This window comes from Homo sapiens, chromosome 4 (assembly GCF_000001405.40).
Source record: "Homo sapiens chromosome 4, GRCh38.p14 Primary Assembly".
NCBI classification, from domain to species: Eukaryota; Metazoa; Chordata; class Mammalia; order Primates; family Hominidae; genus Homo; species Homo sapiens.
In genome coordinates, this window is record NC_000004.12 from 53,372,709 (window position 1) to 53,391,993 (window position 19,285).

The following is a 19,285-nucleotide window of genomic DNA, read 5'->3' on the forward strand; positions in this document are numbered from 1 at the left end:
CTACTAAAGATACAAAAATTGGCTGGGCATGGTGACATGAACCTGTAATCCCAGCTACTGGGGAGGCTGAGGCAGGAGAATTGTTTGAACCTGACAGGGGGAGGTTGTAGTGAGCCAAGATCATGCCACTGCACTCCAGCCTGGGTGACAGAGTGAGTCTCCGTCTCAATAAATAAGTAAATACATACATACATATGTACATAAATAAAAGTCATGAAGCTGGAGGAAATGACTTGGGAGACAGGGTGGACAGAAAAGGTAGGAGAGCCCAGGCAAAAGTCATTTCTTGCTTTCAGATGTTATGGTGGAGTAAAATGAATTCCTATTAAAATGACCTGCTTAAGACCGTCATGTTTATTTTATTAAAATGTGATTTGTATTTCTCTGCTCAAAATAGTCAGCTATTGTTTCTCTTCTGTCCAAAATCCAACATATCTCTCTTCACCTCATTTCTAGGTCATCCATAGGCATGATCAGTTCTTAGCTTAAGAACTTTCCATGTACTTGATGTTGTAAGAGAGGACCTGGCAAATACAGAAATAAAACGATTTTGTTCTCACCTTTAAAAAGAGTATGCGAAGTTTACTGACAGCACAGACATGAATAGGAAATAATACAATTTTCCAGAAACAACTAGCAATAGAAAATTTATTTTTTCTTTTTTGATGAGCTAAACTTAGGACTAGGTAAAGTTTATTGTTAAAAGATGTCAGGATGTAGAGGAAGATGGCTAATTGGGGTTTAATTTATCATGGAAGTACATAAAGAGGAAGGAAAGCTCTACACACGTACAATTACTTTGCTTGTTCAAAGAAGAAAAGTCCTAAACAACATGTTACCTGCTTGTCAATAACTTGTCAAATGCTTTGACTTTTTTTTTTTTTTGAGACGGAGTCTTGCTCTGTCGCCCAGGCTGGAGTGCAATGATGGGATCTTGGCTCACTGCAACCTCCTCCTCCTGGGTTCAAGCGATTCTTCTGCCTCAGCCTCCTGAGTAGTTGGAATCACAGGTGCGTGCCACAATGCCCAGCTAATTTTTGTGTTTTTAGTAGAAACAATGTTTCACTATGTTGAGCAGGCTGGTCTTGAACTCCTGACCTCAGGTGATCCGCCTGCCTCGGCCTCCCAAAGTGCTGGGATTACAGGCGTGAGCCACCGTGCCTGGCTAGATGCTTTGACATTTGAAACCTCAATTTAGCTTTGTTATTCTTCCCCAATATTGGTACAAATGTCATTTTAATGTATCAATTTACTGCTGAGGAAACTTAAGAACATTGAGAATTTAAGAACATTGAAATTTATGTGACAGCAAAGAGCACAGTTGGGCATAAACATCATATGCATGCCAAACACATTTATGTGTACTTGCTATATATACTGGATAGTGAGCAAGGCATTTTTATTTGATCTCCAATTCTTGTCATCATTTAACTCATCATCATCTACTAAACACTCTCAGTACTTCTCAGAGATAAGTATATTAAAACTTATCTTTTAATTTTTTTTGCCAGAAACCAACAGACCACAAAACAACAATAAAATGGAAAACAAATAGAATATATGGAGCACTGTAGTTTGATAAGGTCATAATATAAGAAATGGAAGGAGGAATATATAATATCTTCAAACTACCTACCTTTGATGTCTCCCCTGGTGAGCAGGGAGAGAAAGATACCTTTAACTAAGAAAGCATATTCAGGCAAGAAACTCAGCTTAGAAGCAAGGAGGAAGAGGTCTTTTCAGAGTAGTTATTAGTGATTTATGTGCTTCTTTGCTTGTGGAAATCTTCATTTTCAAAGCTTAGCTCAAATGCTACCTCCACCACAAAAGCTATTCTAGTATTGTTCATCATTTCTTCAGTTATGTTTAAGCAATGCCTTGAAAGGCAGCTGAAAACAGAAAAAGATCCCTTAACAAAAGGCAATTGGTTTTCTCATGAAACCAATTAAATAAATAGAACGATCAATAGACAGGACTGTGAGTGATTGCCTTACGATACTCATAAACAGTCTATAAGACTTCATTCTATTACTTTCAACAGTGACCAAGAAGATTTACTCAGCGTTAAGCACTATACTAGGAATTGAAGTGATGGCTATGGGATGCCCTGTTTGGAGGTGGACTTGGTCTAGCGAAGAGCCTGAGGCAAACAGAAATATAGTCAAATAATTACTATACAGTGTGATAGGCACATGGCATAGAAGCAGCATGGTGTCTAGAAGGAGTGAGTTGCTCTGTCCCACTCACCCCCCAAATACATCTGACCTCATCTGCATTCTCTCTCACTCACTATACTTTAGCTACATTTTGAGTTTCTTGAACATGCCAAGTATGCTTCTACCTCAGGGCCTTTGCACTTCTTATTCCTCTGTTTGATAGTCTGTCACCCCGAAATCCACGGGGCTCACCTCCTGTCTCCATTCAAGTCTCTTGTATCACTTCATCAGAGTAGCTTTCCCTGACCACTCCATATAAAATTGCACCCCATCACTTCATTTTATATTGCTTACTCTTTTCACAATTCTTGTCATCATGACATATCATACGTTCATATGTTTATTATCTGACTCTCTTATTAGAATCAAAGCTCCACAAAAGAAAGAACTTTGTTTTATTCACTGTTGAATCTACATAGCTGGAAGAGTTCCTGGCAAAACAAATGGGAAGAGATAAAATGGGATTCAGGAAAGATTTCACAAAGGTGATTATACCCCCAGAGAGTTTAGAAGGATGCAAGAGATTATCATAAAAAGATAAGGGAGCTGGGAATAGCTGGCAGAAGTGTGTTCAAAGGTAAGAAAGATTAAAACCACATGGTTTGTTTAAATAATGTGAGATATTGGTTGGGCGTAAACCCTTCATTTGTGCTTCTATTACAACACATTCACCTCTTCTCTTGTAGGAGAGTTGTTTACTGCCCCTCTGTCTTTCTCAATAACTTCAGAGTTCTTTAAGGGGTGGGACTGTTTCACTCATGTCTTCATTTTCCAAGTTCTTAAACAGAGCAGATATTCTGTAATTGCTAAATAAATAAATGATAAAACAATATTTATTCATCAAGGAGCAAGAAAACTCATTTAGTTGTTCAATCAAAATGGATTTCTCTCTGTTGACAAGCGAATGCCCTGTTTGTAAACTTTATAAATGAAAGAGACCTCAGAGATCATCTAACTTGGCCTTTCCATTTTATAGATGAGAAAACTGAAGCATAGAAAGGTTGATTGCCTGACTATACAACCTGCTAGGTATAATGAAGAACTGAGGCCAGGCCTGGTGGCTCATACATGTAATCCCAGCACTTTAGGAGGCCTAGGTGGAAGGATTGCTAGAGACCACGAGTTCCAGACCAGCCTAGGCAACATGGTGAGACATTGTCTCTACAAAAAATAAAAAATTAGCCAGGTGTGGTGGCACCTGCTTGTCTGTAGTCCCAGGTACTCAGGAGGCTGAAGTGGGAGGACTGTTTGAGTCTGGGAGGTAGAGACTGCAGTGAACAGTGACCCTGCCACTGCATTTCAGCCTGGGTTACAGAGTAAGACTGTTTTTTAAACAAAACAAAACAAAACAAAACAAAACAAAACAAAACAAAAAAACAGGCCGGGCGTGGTGGCTCATGCCTGTAAGCCCAGCACTTTGGGACACCAAGGTGGGCAGATCACCTGAGGTCAGGAGTTCAAAACCAGCCTGGCCAAAATGGTGAAACCCCCTCTCTACTATAAATACAAAAATTGGCTGGGCATGGTGGTGCGTGCCTGTAATCCCAGCTACTTGGGAGGCTGAGGCAGAAGAATCGCTTGAGCCCAGGAGGTGGAGGTTGCAGTGAGCAGAGATCGCACCACTGTACTCCAGCTGGGCAACAGAGTGAGACTCCGCCTCAAATAAATAAACAAACAAACAAAAAACCTAGACAAACCTAGAGCTCCAGTTTGAACCATGGTATGTCATCTTTTCACTGGAAGATGTGCTTTCAGAAGCGGCCTGAACATTTGGTTTACCTATTAAAATAAAAACTGTACATACTTTATGATCTATCTTTGAGAAACAGACAAATCTGCAAGGAGCCGTGTGGATCTTCATTGTCATTTTTTGTTGTAGTTAAAAGTGTAAAGTCAAAAGCAATCTGGGTGTACATCAATGGAGAAATAGCCATATTCACTCTGTGATAGCCATACTATGCAATTTTATGAAGCACTTAAAATAGATATAGTTTGATTCATACTAAAATGAAAAAGAGCTCCAAGACACGGATGCTAAAAAAAAAGAAAAAAAAGGAAGTCGAAGGATGATACTATACTGTACTGTACTATTTAAGACTTGTCAATCTCAGGTTCTCCCACCAAAACAGCACAACACATGAAGTAAGTGTATAGGAAATTTCGGAATGATGAACTCCAAACAGGATATGCATCTGTAGCAAGGGCTACCTCCGGAGAGAAGGGTAGGGGAATGAGGCGGTCTTTGACCTTGACAGTAATTTATGGTTTTTAACAAGGAGAGTGCATTCTTCATCTATTAGTTTTGCTTTTGTTGGCTGTGAAAATTAATTTTTTGAGAAATAGTACTGATTGTGATTTCTTCTCTATTCAGTGAGGAAAGGGAGTGACAGGTAATGATTCTGTATCAAGGCTGATTAAAGAATAAAAGAAGGCCTTTCTGAAGATTAAAAAACAAATAAAAAGTTGAGAAGAAAGAGCACGAAGAGTAGAAGGGAACAATGGTGTACTCGCCAGCAATGGCAATACGGGTTATTAAAAAGAAGGGTGGGGGCGGGGAACCCTGGCCGACTCAGGACGCCACGGGAGGAAGCCACGCAAAATAGCAAACCGGGATCCTAGAGGGGCGGGGCCCACCTCAGCGCGCAGGCGCAACCAGGCCCAGGTGGCCGCCGCGGAAGCGAAGCCACCTATACGCGCCGCGCCGCTTGGGTCTCCTGCGCATGCGCAGACGGACCTGCGCTGGAGGCTTCATCTTTGCCGCCGCTGCCGTCGCCTTCCTGGGATTGGAGTCTCGAGCTTTCTTCGTTCGTTCGTCGGCGGGTTCGCGCCCTTCTCGCGCCTCGGGGCTGCGAGGCTGGGGAAGGGGTTGGAGGGGGCTGTTGATCGCCGCGTTTAAGTTGCGCTCGGGGCGGCCATGTCGGCCGGCGAGGTCGAGCGCCTAGTGTCGGAGCTGAGCGGCGGGACCGGAGGGGATGAGGAGGAAGAGTGGCTCTATGGCGGTACGAAACTTCCTGTCTCTGTCTCTCGGGTTCTCTCAGGCCTCCCCTCTTGGCCCTCAAACGGCCGGCGTCCCTGGCCTCTCGCGCCGCCGCTTCGGGCCTCTGGTTGGGAGTCCTGTCCGGCCTGACTTAGGCCGAGCGCGGCGTGCGCGTGCCCCCAGTCCCCGCGGCGGTCTCCCGCCTGGCCCACGCCCACCATGCGCATCCACCCCTGTGGCGGCCGGGCCGGGCTGGGGGGCTGTGACCGGTCCTGGCCCCCGGCTTCGCTGTGCTTTCCCCGAGGCGTCTCGATCGCCTAGCTGCTGCGCTCTTTACCCTTGTTTTTTTCTGTCGATTCTGAGGTGGTGGTTTTTGGTGTCTGTTTTTGCCCTGTGGCCTTAGGGTGCCCTTCCTGTCCCTTCTTTCAGAAACAGTCATTCTGTAATAATAGCTAAATAAAGTTAATGCTGTACAACTAACGTCTTGTTTCTTGATGGTCAGTTTGTATGGAATGCACCTGCAAGGGTACCTCCTTGTCTGAAAGTCGTGCTTTAAAAATAATTAATTAAGAGAGAGAGAGAGAAAGATGGCCCATAAAGAAAACTCTGAATGTCTCCTGTATTAAGGTGAAGTTATTCTTTTTTAAGAGACTACCGTTTAACCTACATCATGGAGGTATCTCATGACCCTTCGGCTTATAGTTTTCAGTGTCATCTCATGTATTTGTTTTTCTCAAAATAAATTTAATGCATCATGTACTTCTCTCTAGAAGGGTACTTGTTTGACATCTGGTTTTTAACTTTAAGTCACAATCCCTTCTTGCTTGTTAACACCAGATTTGAAAGTTAATGTTTGTTCCTTGCCTAAAACATATATTCTTGATTGTCTTTAGAATAGAATAGTAAAAGTGCACTTTGGGCACCATGCAGGTCCTTGATGATGTGACTTTGATAAACTTGTAAAAAAAAATCGTTTGGTGGCAAGATTTAGCATTAGTTACTACTCTTTGAAATGTGAATGTGTAGGATTTCTTTTACAAAGATCTGGAAATCTTCATTACCTCTTAAATTTAAGCTTATTTTTATAGCAGTAAAGTCTGATTTTTTTTTCCATAAAATAAGTATCTTGTTAAGTAATTATAAGGTGATCTAACTTTGGATGTGCTTATAGGCCCATGGGACGTGCATGTGCACAGTGATTTGGCAAAGGACCTAGGTTAGTGCTTGTGATGATCACTTCAGATTTTCATAATACTAGTTTCTTTAAGAGTGGTTTCTTTATTTTGTTTGCTTATTTATTTATTTGTTTATTTTACTTGGTAGATGAAAATGAAGTTGAAAGGCCAGAAGAAGAAAATGCCAGGTTAGTGAAATTTTCTGTTGATGCCTATTACACAGGTTGTGTGAAACAATGGTTCTGTCAGTTGTCAAAATTATTTTCTTACAATCATTGGCTTCATTACAACACTGACTTACAACATTTTGGAGGACATTGAATCCTTTAAGGATTATTCCAGTTTCAGGACCTAATCTTACGCCAATTCTATTTGTTGGTAGTTTAAAGGACAAAGTTTTTGAACTTAGGATTGGACTGATTTTACACTGTTAAGTAACTTGTTACTCTTAAGTGAATTCAGTAGTGAAGTATACAGTATAATCGTTAAGCTACTGATAAAAATATTTTAACTTAATTGAAAATGTTTTTAAGTAAATCAGGAACACTCCAAACTACTGCTTTTCCAGTTTATTAACATTTTTGATGATATAATGGCAGTTTGGTTGTAATTTCAATGCTATGTATTGTTTGCATTCAAAATGTAATTAGCTGATTTGTTATAAGGTTGATTTCTTTGTTAGATTGTAAGAAAGATGTAAGTGTTCATTTATAGAACATATACAGGGAGTCAGAATTTTACCCCAGATTTCAAAAAGCAAGCCATGTAAAGAAGTACATGGAGATGTCGGCTTTACCCTGACCACATGCATTAGTGTCTGTAATGGAGGGAGAGGTAGTTAGAAGATTTTAAGGAATATTTGGGTTTAAAAAGTGGAAGATATACAACTTCATACCGAGTAAGCTGCAATCGAAAAGATAAAACAGGTGTTAGTGAGGATATGGGGAAATAAAACCCTCATACACTTCTGGTGGGATTGTAAAATGGTGCAGCTGCTTTGAAGAACAGCCTGGCCATTTTCTCAAATGGTGAAACATGGAGTTACCATGTGAGTCCTCCACCTTAGAGGAATGAAAACATATTCAGACAAAAACTTGTACGTGAATATTCATAGCAGCATTATTCTTAATAGAAAGTGGAAAAAGAAAACCTCGCAGCTGCATCAACTGATGAATGGATAGATTAAATGTGTTATATCCATACAGCGGAATATTATTTGGCAAGGACAATAAAATGAAGTACTGGTAGATGTTACAACACGGATGAACCTTACAAATGTGGAAGCTAAAGATGTCAGTCCGTAGAGACAGATTAGTGGTTACTAAGAGTTGGGTGAGTGATTGCTAATGTATACAAAGTTCCTTTTGGGAGTGATGCATACATTCTGGAATTAGATAGTTGTGATGGTTGGACTATGTGACCATATTAAAACTCAGTTGTCCTGTTTGAATGGGTAGATTGTATAATATGTGAATTGCATCTCAAAGCTGTTACAACAAAAAATGGATAGAGGGAAAAAGTGAGAAATGGAAGTAGAAATAGCTTAGGAGGAGCTGAAACTACAGTTCAGCTTCCTTACCCAAAAAATCCCCTATAGTCTTTTCACTCATTGGTATATTATCTGAAATGTTATTTCATTTTAAAATTTATATATTCAACTCAGTTCCTAATTCTGATCTCAACCACAAAGTTGAGATTAGTTTTAGTTTATGTTATGAAAGTGATTGAATATTTCTTTGTACCCATTCCTTCAGTTGGTCAAGAAATTAATTACAGGTATAGTTTTACAATCAAATATACTTTTCTATATGATAATCTTTATCCCATTAATTTTTATTTTTATTGGTTACAATTTTAAAAGCTTACTTTCTAATCAAACATTCTTTAATTTTAATTCCGCAATACACAACTTGCTAAAATTTATTGGAGGGAACCTTCTACCTTCCCTGAGTGTCACTGTCAACATAGCTTTATATTCCTTTCTGCAACTTCATTTGGGGAGCCGTTGAGTTGATTTCATCCTATGGGGGAAAAAACAATTTCCTTTACAGTGTTATTTTTCTAGAAAAAGCTTAAAATTTTATCATGTTTCTAACATTTTAATGGTGATAGAAAATTAAAACTTCCAAAAGAGTAGGCCTATTGAAGAAAGGTACTCTGCCAGACCTACTGCTATCTGGCTTGGTACATCATTGCATTGCTCTACCAAAGTTCCTGCTATTAGAATTTGCCCGTTTCCTACTGACTGGCTCATTGCTGAAGCCTCTGTTTTTCTTAAACATTGCATTGCAGTCTCCAATTGTGTTATATCTATCCAAGTTTTGACTAAAGAAGGGATACTGTTTTGTGACGTAGAAAGCAAATGGGACTTGCTTCTGGCTACCTAGAAGCTTATTTCAGCAGGAGGTAAATGTACTGAACAATTATAGCTGCATATTTGTTTTCTTGAAGCAAGCAGTAGAACAATGAAAATATAACAGTTATGTTTTGACTTTTTATCTTTCATTTTGCTTTATTTGGTGATTGTGCTATAAAATGCCACTGTAAAGATCAAATTGATTTAGGATAATTAAAATTGATTAAGTTTGTCATATATTTTTAAAATGTGTAAAAAGCTTGAATTATAGCCCACCATCAAATTATAAATCATTAATAAACTGTGAAGGCATTTGCATTCTTTTTTTTTTTTTTTTTTTTTTTTGAGACAGCATCTCACGCTGTCGCCCAGGCTAGAGTGCAGTGGCATGATCACTGCAGCCTCACTGCAACCTCTATCTCCTGGGTTCAAGCAATTGTCTGCTTCAGCCTTCCGAGTAGCTGGGATTACAGGTGCCCGCCACCATGCCTGGCTAATTTTTTTTTTTTTGTATTTTTAGTAGAGACGGGGTTTTACCATCTTGGCCAGGCTGGTCTTGAATTCCTGACCTCGTGATCCACCCACCTCAGCCTCTCAAAGTGCTGGGATTACAGGCATGAGCCTCCACGCCCAGCCTGGCATTTGCATTCTACTTACAATGTTGAGTACTTGTCTTCTGCAAGTTACTAGAAATAACGGAATAAGACAGTCAGATTTTACCATTACTGTCTCCAGTGGAGACAATAATTTTAGGAGCTTTATTAAAGCTTAGAAATACTAATATAATCTATCTGTACTTCCGAAAAGTAATGCCTGACATGTATACTTACTTTTGTTGTTTGTAGTGCTAATCCTCCATCTGGAATTGAAGATGAAACTGCTGAAAATGGTGTACCAAAACCGGTAACATAAGGCTTTGAAATCCAGTTACTGATACAAATCTTTATCAATAGCTTCACAGTTTACATAGAAAGCAAGCTGGCATTTTACATTACCTTCAGTATCAGGTGTTATCTGGCCCTTTCTTACATCTCCTACTTCATCTGGTGCCATCAAAAACATATATAGGAATTAAAATGAGGAAAAGAAATAGTAGAAAGACTGCAGAGGAAAATAGTATGTGCAAAGGCTTGATGTTTATTGCTTTCAAGGAATTGAATGGTTATAAATCTACTGAATATAGTGAGCCTGGTTTTCAGAGCAAGTTTTGAGCCCACAACCTTTCACTGTTACGATTTTTTAACGTTGCTTTTTAATGTATGTGACAGTCCCTGACTGCATGCCTGCATGCCATTGATACTTTGTGAGGTGAACATATCATTGGTCCTATGAATATTTGTGCATTTTAATCCTATAAAAGGAAGGAAGTTATTGTTCCGGAAGTTTGAAGTTGTATACAAAAAAGTATTTTGCCTATGTGATCTACTTATTTACTATGATGTGATTAAGCACAAAATAGCCTTTAAGAGCCAAAGTAAAATCTTCACAAATATAGAATTTGCATGTAGGGCCTCTTCTAGGTATACAAGAATACCAAGAATAACTGAGCTTCTACTTAACTATTTGGTACTTCTTATGCTTTGGGGTTTTTTTTTTTAATTCTTTAATTGATTTGGTACATTGTATTTGTGACACTGTGAATCTTAAAATTGTTTTCCTCTTAGATTCTTTTTTGCCAAGACTTCTCAAATACTTATTTTTTATAATTTTATCTTGTAGGTATCTTAGTAAGTTGCTTTAGATCTTTTTGCAAGAGGGGCAGATATGATAGTTAAAAAAAAAATGAGGTGTTGTTTACCACAAGGAGATGATGCCAAAAAGATTTCATTTCTTTATTCATAGTCTTATCCTTTTTATCCTGTAGAACATCAAAATTATGAGTTGAAATAGGTGGCAGCATTATAAGCTTGTAACTTTTAAATTGTATCTCAAAAAAATACAGAGTGGGGCCGGGCATGGTGGCTCACGCCTGTAATTCCAGCACTTTGGGAGGCCAAGGTGGGTGGATCACCTGAGGTCAGGAGTTCGAGGCCAGCCTGGCCAACATGGTGAAACCCTGTCTCTGCTAAAAATACAAAAATTAGTTGGGCATGGTGGCGGGCACCTGTAATCCTAGCTACTCTAGAGGCTGAGGCCGGAGAATTGCTTGAACCTGGGAGGTGGAGGTTGCAGTGAGCTGAGATCATGCCACTGCACTCAAGCCGGGGCGACAAAGTGAGAGTCTGTCTCAAGACAGAAGAAAGAAAAAAAAAAACAGGGTGGTTACTTTTTTTAGTTATTAGTATTAGATGTTGAAATGGATTACTGAATGTATTTTATAATTTGTTTATGTTCATGTAGAAAGTGACTGAGACCGAAGATGATAGTGATAGTGACAGCGATGATGATGAAGATGATGTTCATGTCACTATAGGAGACATTAAAACGGGAGCACCACAGTATGGGTAAGTTATTTTTTAGTAAGTAACAATTGTGTAAATGCTATATAGTAAGGAGAGTGTGCCTATATCAAACTCTCAGTGGTTGAGTCCATTGTTTTTACATTTTTCTATTTTAACATAAAAGAACTTGTTAAAGTTTCATCATGAATATACTTCTTTGCTAAAATACAGTTAATTGATTAGGCGAAGGTACATAGAAGCAGCAGTTTTTGATGCTGAATTTAAAGTGTTTTTATAAAAGAATTGAGTGCTAGGCCAGGCATAGAGGTTCATGCCTGTAATCCCAGGACTTTGGGAGGCCGAGGCGGGTGAATCACCTGAGGTCAGGAGTTCAAGACCAGCCTGACCAGCATGGTGAAACCTTATCTCTACTAAAAATACAATAATTAGCCAGGCATGGTGGTGGGCACCTGTAATCCCAGCTACTCCAGAGACTAAGGCAGGAGAATCACTTGAACCTGGGAGGTGGAGGTTGCGGTGAACCCAGATCGAGCCACTGTACTCCAGCCTGGGTAACAGAGTGAGACTCTGTCTCGAGAAAAAGAAAAAAAAAAAGTACTATAAATTCTTTGATTAGAATTAGAAATCCTTAAATTGTAATTTGTATCTGTACTTATTATTATTTCACTTTATTATCCAGACCTGAGTTTAGGTTTTTAATTTTTTTGCCTAATAAAAACAATATCAAAAGTATTTCTTTTTGTTCTTAATAGTGTTTTCAGGTTTCTAATTCTCCCTTAGGCCTTTTAGGCCAATGTTTGTCTCCAATTTTGTATTCTATAAACTGGACCAAGTAAATGGACTGTCATTGACTCATTGAGCGCATAAAGAATCTTACAGAAAGATTGGAAGGGAAATACATTGAAGTACGAATTGTGATTTAGTTACGATAGGAGAATAAGAGTCAATGTGTTTTGTTTTTCAAATTGGCTGTATAATGTGGTTATTATAGCTTATGCATTGGAAACATAAAATACATTAATTTCACTATAGTTCATTAAGCAACCTCATCTGGAATCAACCAGTATATACAAAAATATTGTTAAATATTTTATTAGTAGAGTCATTTGTTTTCAGAAGTCATTTCAGGAAGCTTAAAGCCAATTCAGTTATTGTCATAGTCAGTTTTGTATTATAATAATGACTACCCATGTAATTTTAAAATCCTAGCACCTTTTTAGGGAACAGAGTAAAGAGGCTGATTTTTCATGTTAGGGGTGGATATTCTAAATGTGCTCCTCATTCTCATTTGGGAAAGTAAATAATTACTTAATGAGAAAGTTGGGCTTATACTGTAGTACTAGTAGGCCTTTACTATCTGCATGATGCAAAAGGAACACATAAAATTGTAATAATTGCATGTTCATTAAATGTTATGTAAAATTATTTGTATTTGCAAGTTATAGAACAACTTGAAGCAAATGACAATTTTTTTGGATTATGGATGGGACCTTTTTTTGGTAGAAATTGCACTCAAATATTAAATATACGTGGACTTCCATAGTACCTTACTAAACTTTATTTCTTATAGCAATTTTCAGTTTTATGCATTGTAATTATGTTTATACATATTTATTACCTTTACACACTTCAGATTTCTATAGAGTAGAAACCATTGAATTCAAAACTCTTCAAAAAAACAAGAAACTGTGATTTATGGAGTTTTCTATTCCTCACATTGCCTTAAATACAGTTAAGTGTGCAGTAAATGGTTATTGACTAAATAAACTGAATGTTATTTAGTTACAGTTGTCTCTGAGGGTTTTTCCCCTTAGACATTTGATTATGAAAATTTTCAAATGCTCACAAAAGTTGAAGGAATTGACATGTGAATGCTCATTTACCCATCACCTAGATTATACAATCTACATTTTGCTTTGTTTGCTTGAACTCATATCCCTCTATGCGTTTACCCATTTATCAGTTGATTTATTTTTTATTCATTTTATGCATTTCGAAAGTAAAGTACAGGCATTTGTGAAGAGTGTAAAGTTGTTTAACCTCTATATTTCAAGGTATATCCCTTGAAAACAAAGTCAGTGAGAAAATGAAATTTGATAAACATTTACTTATGCACAGCGTTTTCAGAAGCAAATTTAAAGAACAAACTGTGTCCAAGGACTGAATTGATTTATTGTAAATTGTTAGGAAATACAAAATAGCATTTTTTTTTTTTTTTTGCGTAACATACCTTTGTTACAAGTTCATTTTATATGTAAGTAAGGTATGAAGAAAAGCAACTCTTAAAGTAGAAATAATTTATCTTGGAAAGTAGTTTGTTACCTATCTCTGTGAGATTGATCCATTTATGTACTCAATAAATAATTTTTAAAGACATAATTTATCTGGCACTGTGTTAAGTAGCAAAGATAATGTGCCTTTATCAAACCATCTGTGATCATTCCATTATTATTATTGTTTTTACATTTACCATGCTACAAAAGAACCCTTGGTAAAATCACCATGAAATTTCATGGAGTTAACAAATTAGATAAAGTTACATGAAAGCAGCAATTTTTTATCTGTGAATGTATTAATTGATGAGAATACAGGAAGTTATTATTTTCCAGAGGTAGTGAGGATGCCAGACATGTGAGTAAATATTTTCAGTGCAACATAAGTGCTAGAATAGAAACATGTACAAAGTGATTCGAAAGGTTTGAGAGGAGAGTTGCTAAAAGCCTACAGGTGTTGAAGAGAAGATCCCAGAGGTAACATTTGAACTTGTTTGAATAATTTTTGAGATGGGAGACAGTGGTTTTTAGGTGGAGGACACTGCCTAACAATAAATATATTAGATGCGTGCCTTGGAGGAAGTACATGGCTGGAGGATAAGGTAGATGAAAAGAGATGGTTGAAATCACTTATGGAAGGAGTTAGGATGCTTTTGCTATGTCTTTGTAGACCTTGCAAGCTTGTCCAATGCACCTTATTTTGTTGCTGTTGTTGTTCTGTTTTGCTTTGTTTTAGTCTTTTAGCTGCCCAAAGCCATGGTTTTTAGTTTCTGTCTCCAGTGATAAGTGGAAAAGAGGGGTGATAAAGGGGCTTTACTGGCCTAACCAGAAACAGAAACTAAGGACTCATGACTGTATTCTCTCCCTTAGACACCCCTAATTAGGTTTTTAGACAGGTCATATCATTTGAAAAGATAACTCTAGCATCAGTAGTTGAGATGGGTTAGATAGAGAGACATTGACTAATAGATGTGAAGTAGTTGTCCAGGTGAGATGATAATCTAGACTAAGGCAGCAGTAGTAGAGAGATGAATGGGAAAATAGTACATTTGAGTATTAGAGAAACAGAAATATAGTCAGGCATGTGGTATACACCTGTAGTCCCATGGACTTGGGAGGCTGAGGTAGGAGGATTGCTTGAGCCTTGGAGTTTCAGGCCAGCCTGGGCAATATAGTAAGATCCTGTCTCAAAGAATAAATAGAAACAAATAACATGGGTAACTGGTTGGTTGTGGATGGAGGAGGAGATAAAGGGCTCAGTGACTTAAAGATTTCTAGAGCAGTTAATTGGGTACAGGTGGGTGCTACTGCTCCCACCTCCCACAAAACAGATTCATTTGACATGTTTATTTTGGAGTTCCTATAGAAAGTCCAAGTATAGGATCTAGCATTTAGAGTGGTCTGAGACTTCATAGGGATCTATTGGACATTATATCAAATTTGCCTCTGCAATTTTTCATACCACTAAGCTTCTCTACACAGGCTTCTCTACAAAGGCTTGTGGCTTAAAAAAGAAAAATGATGTTTTAAAAGGCAGAATGGGGAATAGAAAGTAGCTAGGTGGAAAGCGAAGAAGCTCATTTATTGAACACTTGTGGCTAAGCCTTTTATAAAAATACTGTTTTATTCTATACGGTCCTGTAAGAGAACAGTTTAGAGAAAATCCTTGATTTTTGTACATTTGTAGAAAAATCATGTACATCATATGTAGATACCGCTAAGTCACTTTTTCTGAATTTGGATTGTTAAAATGTAAACATCGTGAAGGCAGGAACCGTAATTGTCCAGCTCCTCATACTTTTTCCTCAGCCTAGAACCATACTTGACATGGTTTGGTGCTCAGTAAGCATTACATGAATTAATCAGCCTATGAAATGATTATTTCAAGTTGGTGACGATAGTACTGCTTGACAGTAGTAATATTTGGTCCACTTTGTAATTTTTGCATTTCTAGCTGTGGAGCTACAGTTATTTGATACAATTAAACATTTTATTGAATTTACATTTTTCTTTTTTAAGTAGAAAAGAAAAGTGACAGTGCAAATGTAACTAAACCTAAGTCTTAAATGTAGTACATCAGAGACAAAAGATGGAAGTAATTATTATTAGACCCAAAGCAGTGAATCTGAAGTCCAGATGGCTGAAGTTCTGAGAGAAAAGAACCAAATATATAACATGAATATAATGTGAGAAATATATCATTATAAACATCTGTGACTTGAGGTCTTACTGATATCTTTTTTTTTTTTTGAGATAGAGTCTCGCTCTTTTGCCCAGGCTGGAGTGCAGTGGCGCGATCTCACTGCAAGCTCCGCCTCCTGGGTTCACGCCATTCTCATGCCTCAGCCTCCTGAGTAGCTGGGATTACAGGCGCCCACCCCCATGCCTGGCTAGTTTTTTCTATTTTTTAGTGGAGACGGGGTTTCATGGTGTTAGCCAGGATGGTCTTGATCTCCTGACCTCGTGATCCACCCGCCTCGGCCTCCCAAAGTGCTGGGATTACAGGCGTGAGCCGCCGTGCCCGGCCGTCTTACTGATATGTTTTTGTTCAGTGGGAGTTGGTCCTTCTTTGCCCATTCCCGTTTTCTTCTAACTTCCCTAGTAACAGAAAAGTCTCTTTTAATTAGTATATTTGATAATACTACTCATATATAAGAATCCATTATATAAAGAAGTAAAGAACTGTCTGTAACCCCGTATTACAGAAAATGTATACAAGGCTCATTTATACAAGTAAAAATGCAATGAATTATTCAAATAATTGTATACAAGTCTTAGGTGTTTTGGCCAAGATTACACAACTAGCAATTGACAAAACATTTGAATGTGGGTTGGTCCAACTTCAGATATTTTTTTCTTTATCACTGTGTATTATATTACATCTAAAAAGGTGCAGCTTAATATTTTTTCAAATATATACATTCATGTAACTACAGCCAGATCAAGATATGAAACATAATTGGCATCCTAGAAGTTTCTCTCATTTTGCCTCTTGGTCATTAACCACCCACCACCGGCAAACACTGTTCTGCTTTCATGCTAGACTTATTTTTGAATTTCTTGTCAATAAATTTCTGTTATGGACTGAGTACTCCATGAATAGTTGAAAAAGGATTTATTAACAATATCAAATGCAAGAAGAACTGAAAGGCCACTAGATTTGACAACAAGTTGGAGGAATTTTACTTATGCTTAAGAGTGCTGTATATTTAATAACTGGGAGGCAAGGAAATGAAGACAAGGGGTGTAAACTATTTTTCCCTTCTTAGCCTTATTTCTTGTGAAGTTTGTTACAGTAGAATGTTGAGTTATTGGCAAAAAGGTTTTTGAAATGGAAACAAGTCAGGCTTTTTTTTTTTACTGTTTTTGCCTTTTATTGAGCAAGTGACTTTAAAAATCAGTTTAAAATGTTTTTTAAAATATGTGTTAGCTGGGCACGGTGGCTCACTCTTGTAATCTCAGCATTTTGGGAAGCCAAGGTGGGAGGATTGCTTGAGCTCTGGAGTTCGAGACCAGCCTGGACAACATGGTATGAGATCTCATCTATACAAAATTTAAAAAATAAAGATAGAAATAAAATGTGTGTCACACTATCCATTTACTATGTGATTGTATAATTTGTTTGTACAAATGGAATATATTACTGTTTTGTTTAAGCTTTTCAGGATAATTTCTGTTTTTTTTTGTTTGTTTGTTTTTAGGAGTTATGGTACAGCACCTGTAAATCTTAACATCAAGACAGGGGGAAGAGTTTATGGAACTACAGGTAAAATTTGTATTTTCTGTTGCATCAATAGGGAAATAAGGCACATATCTTAAATAGGTCTTAATAGCTTTTTTTTTTAGTCGGGGACAGAGTCTGGCTCTGTCACTCAGGCTGGAGTACAGTGGCGCAATCTTAGTTCACTGCAACCTCCGTCTCCTGGGCTCAAACCATCCTCCCACTTCACCTTCTCAAGTAGCTGGGACTGCGGGCGTGCACCACCATGCTTGGCCAATTTTTGTATTTTTATGTAGAGACCAGGTCTCACCATGTTGTTCAGGCTGCTCTTGAACTTTCGAGCTTAAGTGATCTACCTGCCTTGGCCTCCCAGAGTGTTGGGATTCCATGTGTGAGCCACTGCGCCCGGCCAAGGTGATAATAGCTCTTTTTAAAGAGTAATTTTTGACCGTACATCACAGAGACTGGTAAAGTTTTTCTGGCAAGAGTCCAGTAGCACGTATTTTAGGCTCTGCTTTGTTTGGAACCCTTGCCAGGTTTTTTGCCAGGAATAGTAAAAAGATGTTTGTTTTCTGTTTGTGTGTGTATATGTGCCAGGAATAGTAAAAAGGTGTTTATATTTTCTGTTTGTCTATGGTATCGCCTGGCTTCTTGCAAGTATAGCTCCTTCATTTTGTAATTTTATAAAACAGGGACAAAAGTCAAAGGAGTAGACCTTGATGCACCTGGAAGCATTAATGGAGTTCCACTCTTAGAGGTAGATTTGGATTCTTTTGAAGATAAACCATGGCGTAAACCTGGTAAGATTATTGTGGATTATATTAATTTCAATATTTTCAGTGTGAAGTCATCAGAAAATTTTTTTGAACATCAATTTAGAATTTTATTTTTTCATTATAATTTTAATTGTCTTAAGCAAATGATGAGTAATAATGACTTGGGATTATTAAATCTTACTGGTGGCCTTGTATTACTTAAAATGTAGACTTATTGTTTATTATAATGGCGTTTGTAAAGGGAATAATTTGATCAAAAATGATATAGTCTTTTTGCCACCATAAATGATAGAGTGATAACTGATAGAACTCTAAATTTATATTTTTATAGTTTAGTATATTTTTGATGCTGCATAAAAATAGAGCTGAAATATTTGTACACTAAAGTTGTGTTTTATCTTTAGGTGCTGATCTTTCTGATTATTTTAATTATGGGTTTAATGAAGATACCTGGAAAGCTTACTGTGAAAAACAAAAGAGGATACGAATGGGACTTGAAGTTATACCAGTAACCTCTACTACAAATAAAATTACGGTAATTAATAAATACTCCGGAATACCCTTGGCTTGTCTACCGTCCCACTTTTACTCCCCAAATAAATCGCTTCCCTATAAAAGTGGTTAAATGCTATATGATAGTTTAAAAATTCCATTTTGTTTACCATGTTTGTTTTTCCCTTCCCTCCCTTTTAGAGTTTCGTATTTAATGATTATCTGATGTTCTTACTTTCAAATCACAGACTAGCCACAGCTAGTTTGTCTTTATATGGCCTATTAATTAAATATTATGTGGTATCTTAATGGGGAATATGTTATTTAACTTAGGCCGAAGACTGTACTATGGAAGTTACACCAGGTGCAGAGATCCAAGATGGCAGATTCAATCTTTTTAAGGTGAATTTTAGTAAATTATCCTTGGTTGCTCTCATTTTTTGTTCTTGAGTCTGCTCCCATGCCACTACTCAAGGGACAAGATTAAAGTGGAAATAGCTACCTTTTTTCCAAACCTTCAGCTTCCTGGTGACTTACAAATTTGCTGATTGTTGTTTTATCTCCACTTTTGCAAGCATGTGAATTTATAGCCTATTATACTAACAAATGCCGAGTAAAACTATTGTTTGCTATATGTTGTGATTTCATTTTGAGTCGTAATACATGTTTGTAGGATAGAAAAGTTAGTGGCAACAGATTATGCTCTCATTGTAGATAATACTCTAATCTTTATCAACAGAATTGGAAACTTTTTTGTTCTCTTTAAAAAAATGGTAAGGAAGGTGGCATACTGTTTATCTCTATGACACTTATAACACTGATATCATTGGTGTAATGCCCTGATAGCTCAAGATATCTTCAAAAATCTTAGGCATTCTCTGAGAGGCTTTAAGAACT

At 37.5% G+C, this 19,285-nt stretch overlaps 1 protein-coding gene and 1 long non-coding RNA gene across 63 annotated transcripts in view, besides 6 other annotated features; one reads left to right on the forward strand and one right to left on the reverse strand.

Moving 5' to 3' along the window:
• On the reverse strand, window positions 1,461–5,168 carry LOC105377654 (uncharacterized). 3 transcript variants are annotated; one of them, XR_007058118.1, is made up of 3 exons: window positions 4,951–5,032; window positions 2,889–3,022; window positions 1,461–1,889 (listed from the first exon to the last, which is right to left on the reverse strand). It is a non-coding gene; the product is annotated as an uncharacterized LOC105377654 (long non-coding RNA). The 3 variants fall into 3 exon arrangements; XR_007058117.1 differs by lacking the exon at window positions 1,461–1,889 and having other exon boundaries at window positions 2,598–3,022; window positions 4,951–5,168; XR_941050.2 differs by lacking the exons at window positions 1,461–1,889; window positions 4,951–5,032 and adding an exon at window positions 4,851–4,938 and having other exon boundaries at window positions 2,598–3,022.
• Window positions 4,651–5,199: an enhancer, noted in NCBI's record as "H3K27ac hESC enhancer chr4:54243526-54244074 (GRCh37/hg19 assembly coordinates)". NCBI's record gives its function as "activates a minimal SCP1, AML or CMV promoter by ChIP-STARR-seq in primed H9 embryonic stem cells {active_cell/tissue: H9 hESC(primed)}" and the evidence as "EXISTENCE:reporter gene assay evidence [ECO:0000049][PMID:30033119]".
• The window catches only part of FIP1L1 (factor interacting with PAPOLA and CPSF1), an 83,222-nt gene continuing 68,869 nt past the window's right edge, over window positions 4,933–19,285 (forward strand). For 17 of the 60 annotated variants that reach the window (NR_164849.1, NM_001376748.1, NM_001376749.1 and 14 more), the window contains exons 1-8: window positions 4,933–5,215; window positions 6,365–6,409; window positions 6,517–6,556; window positions 9,570–9,627; window positions 11,065–11,168; window positions 17,101–17,165; window positions 17,813–17,920; window positions 18,301–18,431. Coding sequence is in view for 57 of the 60 variants with exons in the window: in NM_001376748.1 (NP_001363677.1) it covers window positions 5,131–5,215; window positions 6,365–6,409; window positions 6,517–6,556; window positions 9,570–9,627; window positions 11,065–11,168; window positions 17,101–17,165; window positions 17,813–17,920; window positions 18,301–18,431 (636 nt within the window). In the remaining 3 variants the exon portion in view is untranslated. Of the gene's footprint in view, window positions 5,216–6,364; window positions 6,410–6,516; window positions 6,557–9,569; window positions 9,628–11,064; window positions 11,169–17,100; window positions 17,166–17,812; window positions 17,921–18,300; window positions 18,432–18,721; window positions 18,791–19,285 lie in introns of all 60 variants that reach the window. The other 43 variants (NR_164847.1, NM_001376758.1, NM_001376760.1 and 40 more) reach the window with 7 other exon arrangements.
• Window positions 5,001–5,090: an enhancer, noted in NCBI's record as "active region_21563". NCBI's record gives its function as "activates an Ori minimal core promoter by ATAC-STARR-seq in GM12878 lymphoblastoid cells {active_cell/tissue: GM12878}" and the evidence as "EXISTENCE:reporter gene assay evidence [ECO:0000049][PMID:35858748]".
• Window positions 5,141–5,260: an enhancer, noted in NCBI's record as "active region_21564". NCBI's record gives its function as "activates an Ori minimal core promoter by ATAC-STARR-seq in GM12878 lymphoblastoid cells {active_cell/tissue: GM12878}" and the evidence as "EXISTENCE:reporter gene assay evidence [ECO:0000049][PMID:35858748]".
• Window positions 5,141–5,748: a biological region, named in NCBI's record as "H3K27ac hESC enhancer GRCh37_chr4:54244075-54244623".
• Window positions 5,200–5,748: an enhancer, noted in NCBI's record as "H3K27ac hESC enhancer chr4:54244075-54244623 (GRCh37/hg19 assembly coordinates)". NCBI's record gives its function as "activates a minimal SCP1, AML or CMV promoter by ChIP-STARR-seq in naive and primed H9 embryonic stem cells {active_cell/tissue: H9 hESC(naive and primed)}" and the evidence as "EXISTENCE:reporter gene assay evidence [ECO:0000049][PMID:30033119]".
• Window positions 5,421–5,510: a silencer, noted in NCBI's record as "silent region_15430". NCBI's record gives its function as "represses an Ori minimal core promoter by ATAC-STARR-seq in GM12878 lymphoblastoid cells {active_cell/tissue: GM12878}" and the evidence as "EXISTENCE:reporter gene assay evidence [ECO:0000049][PMID:35858748]".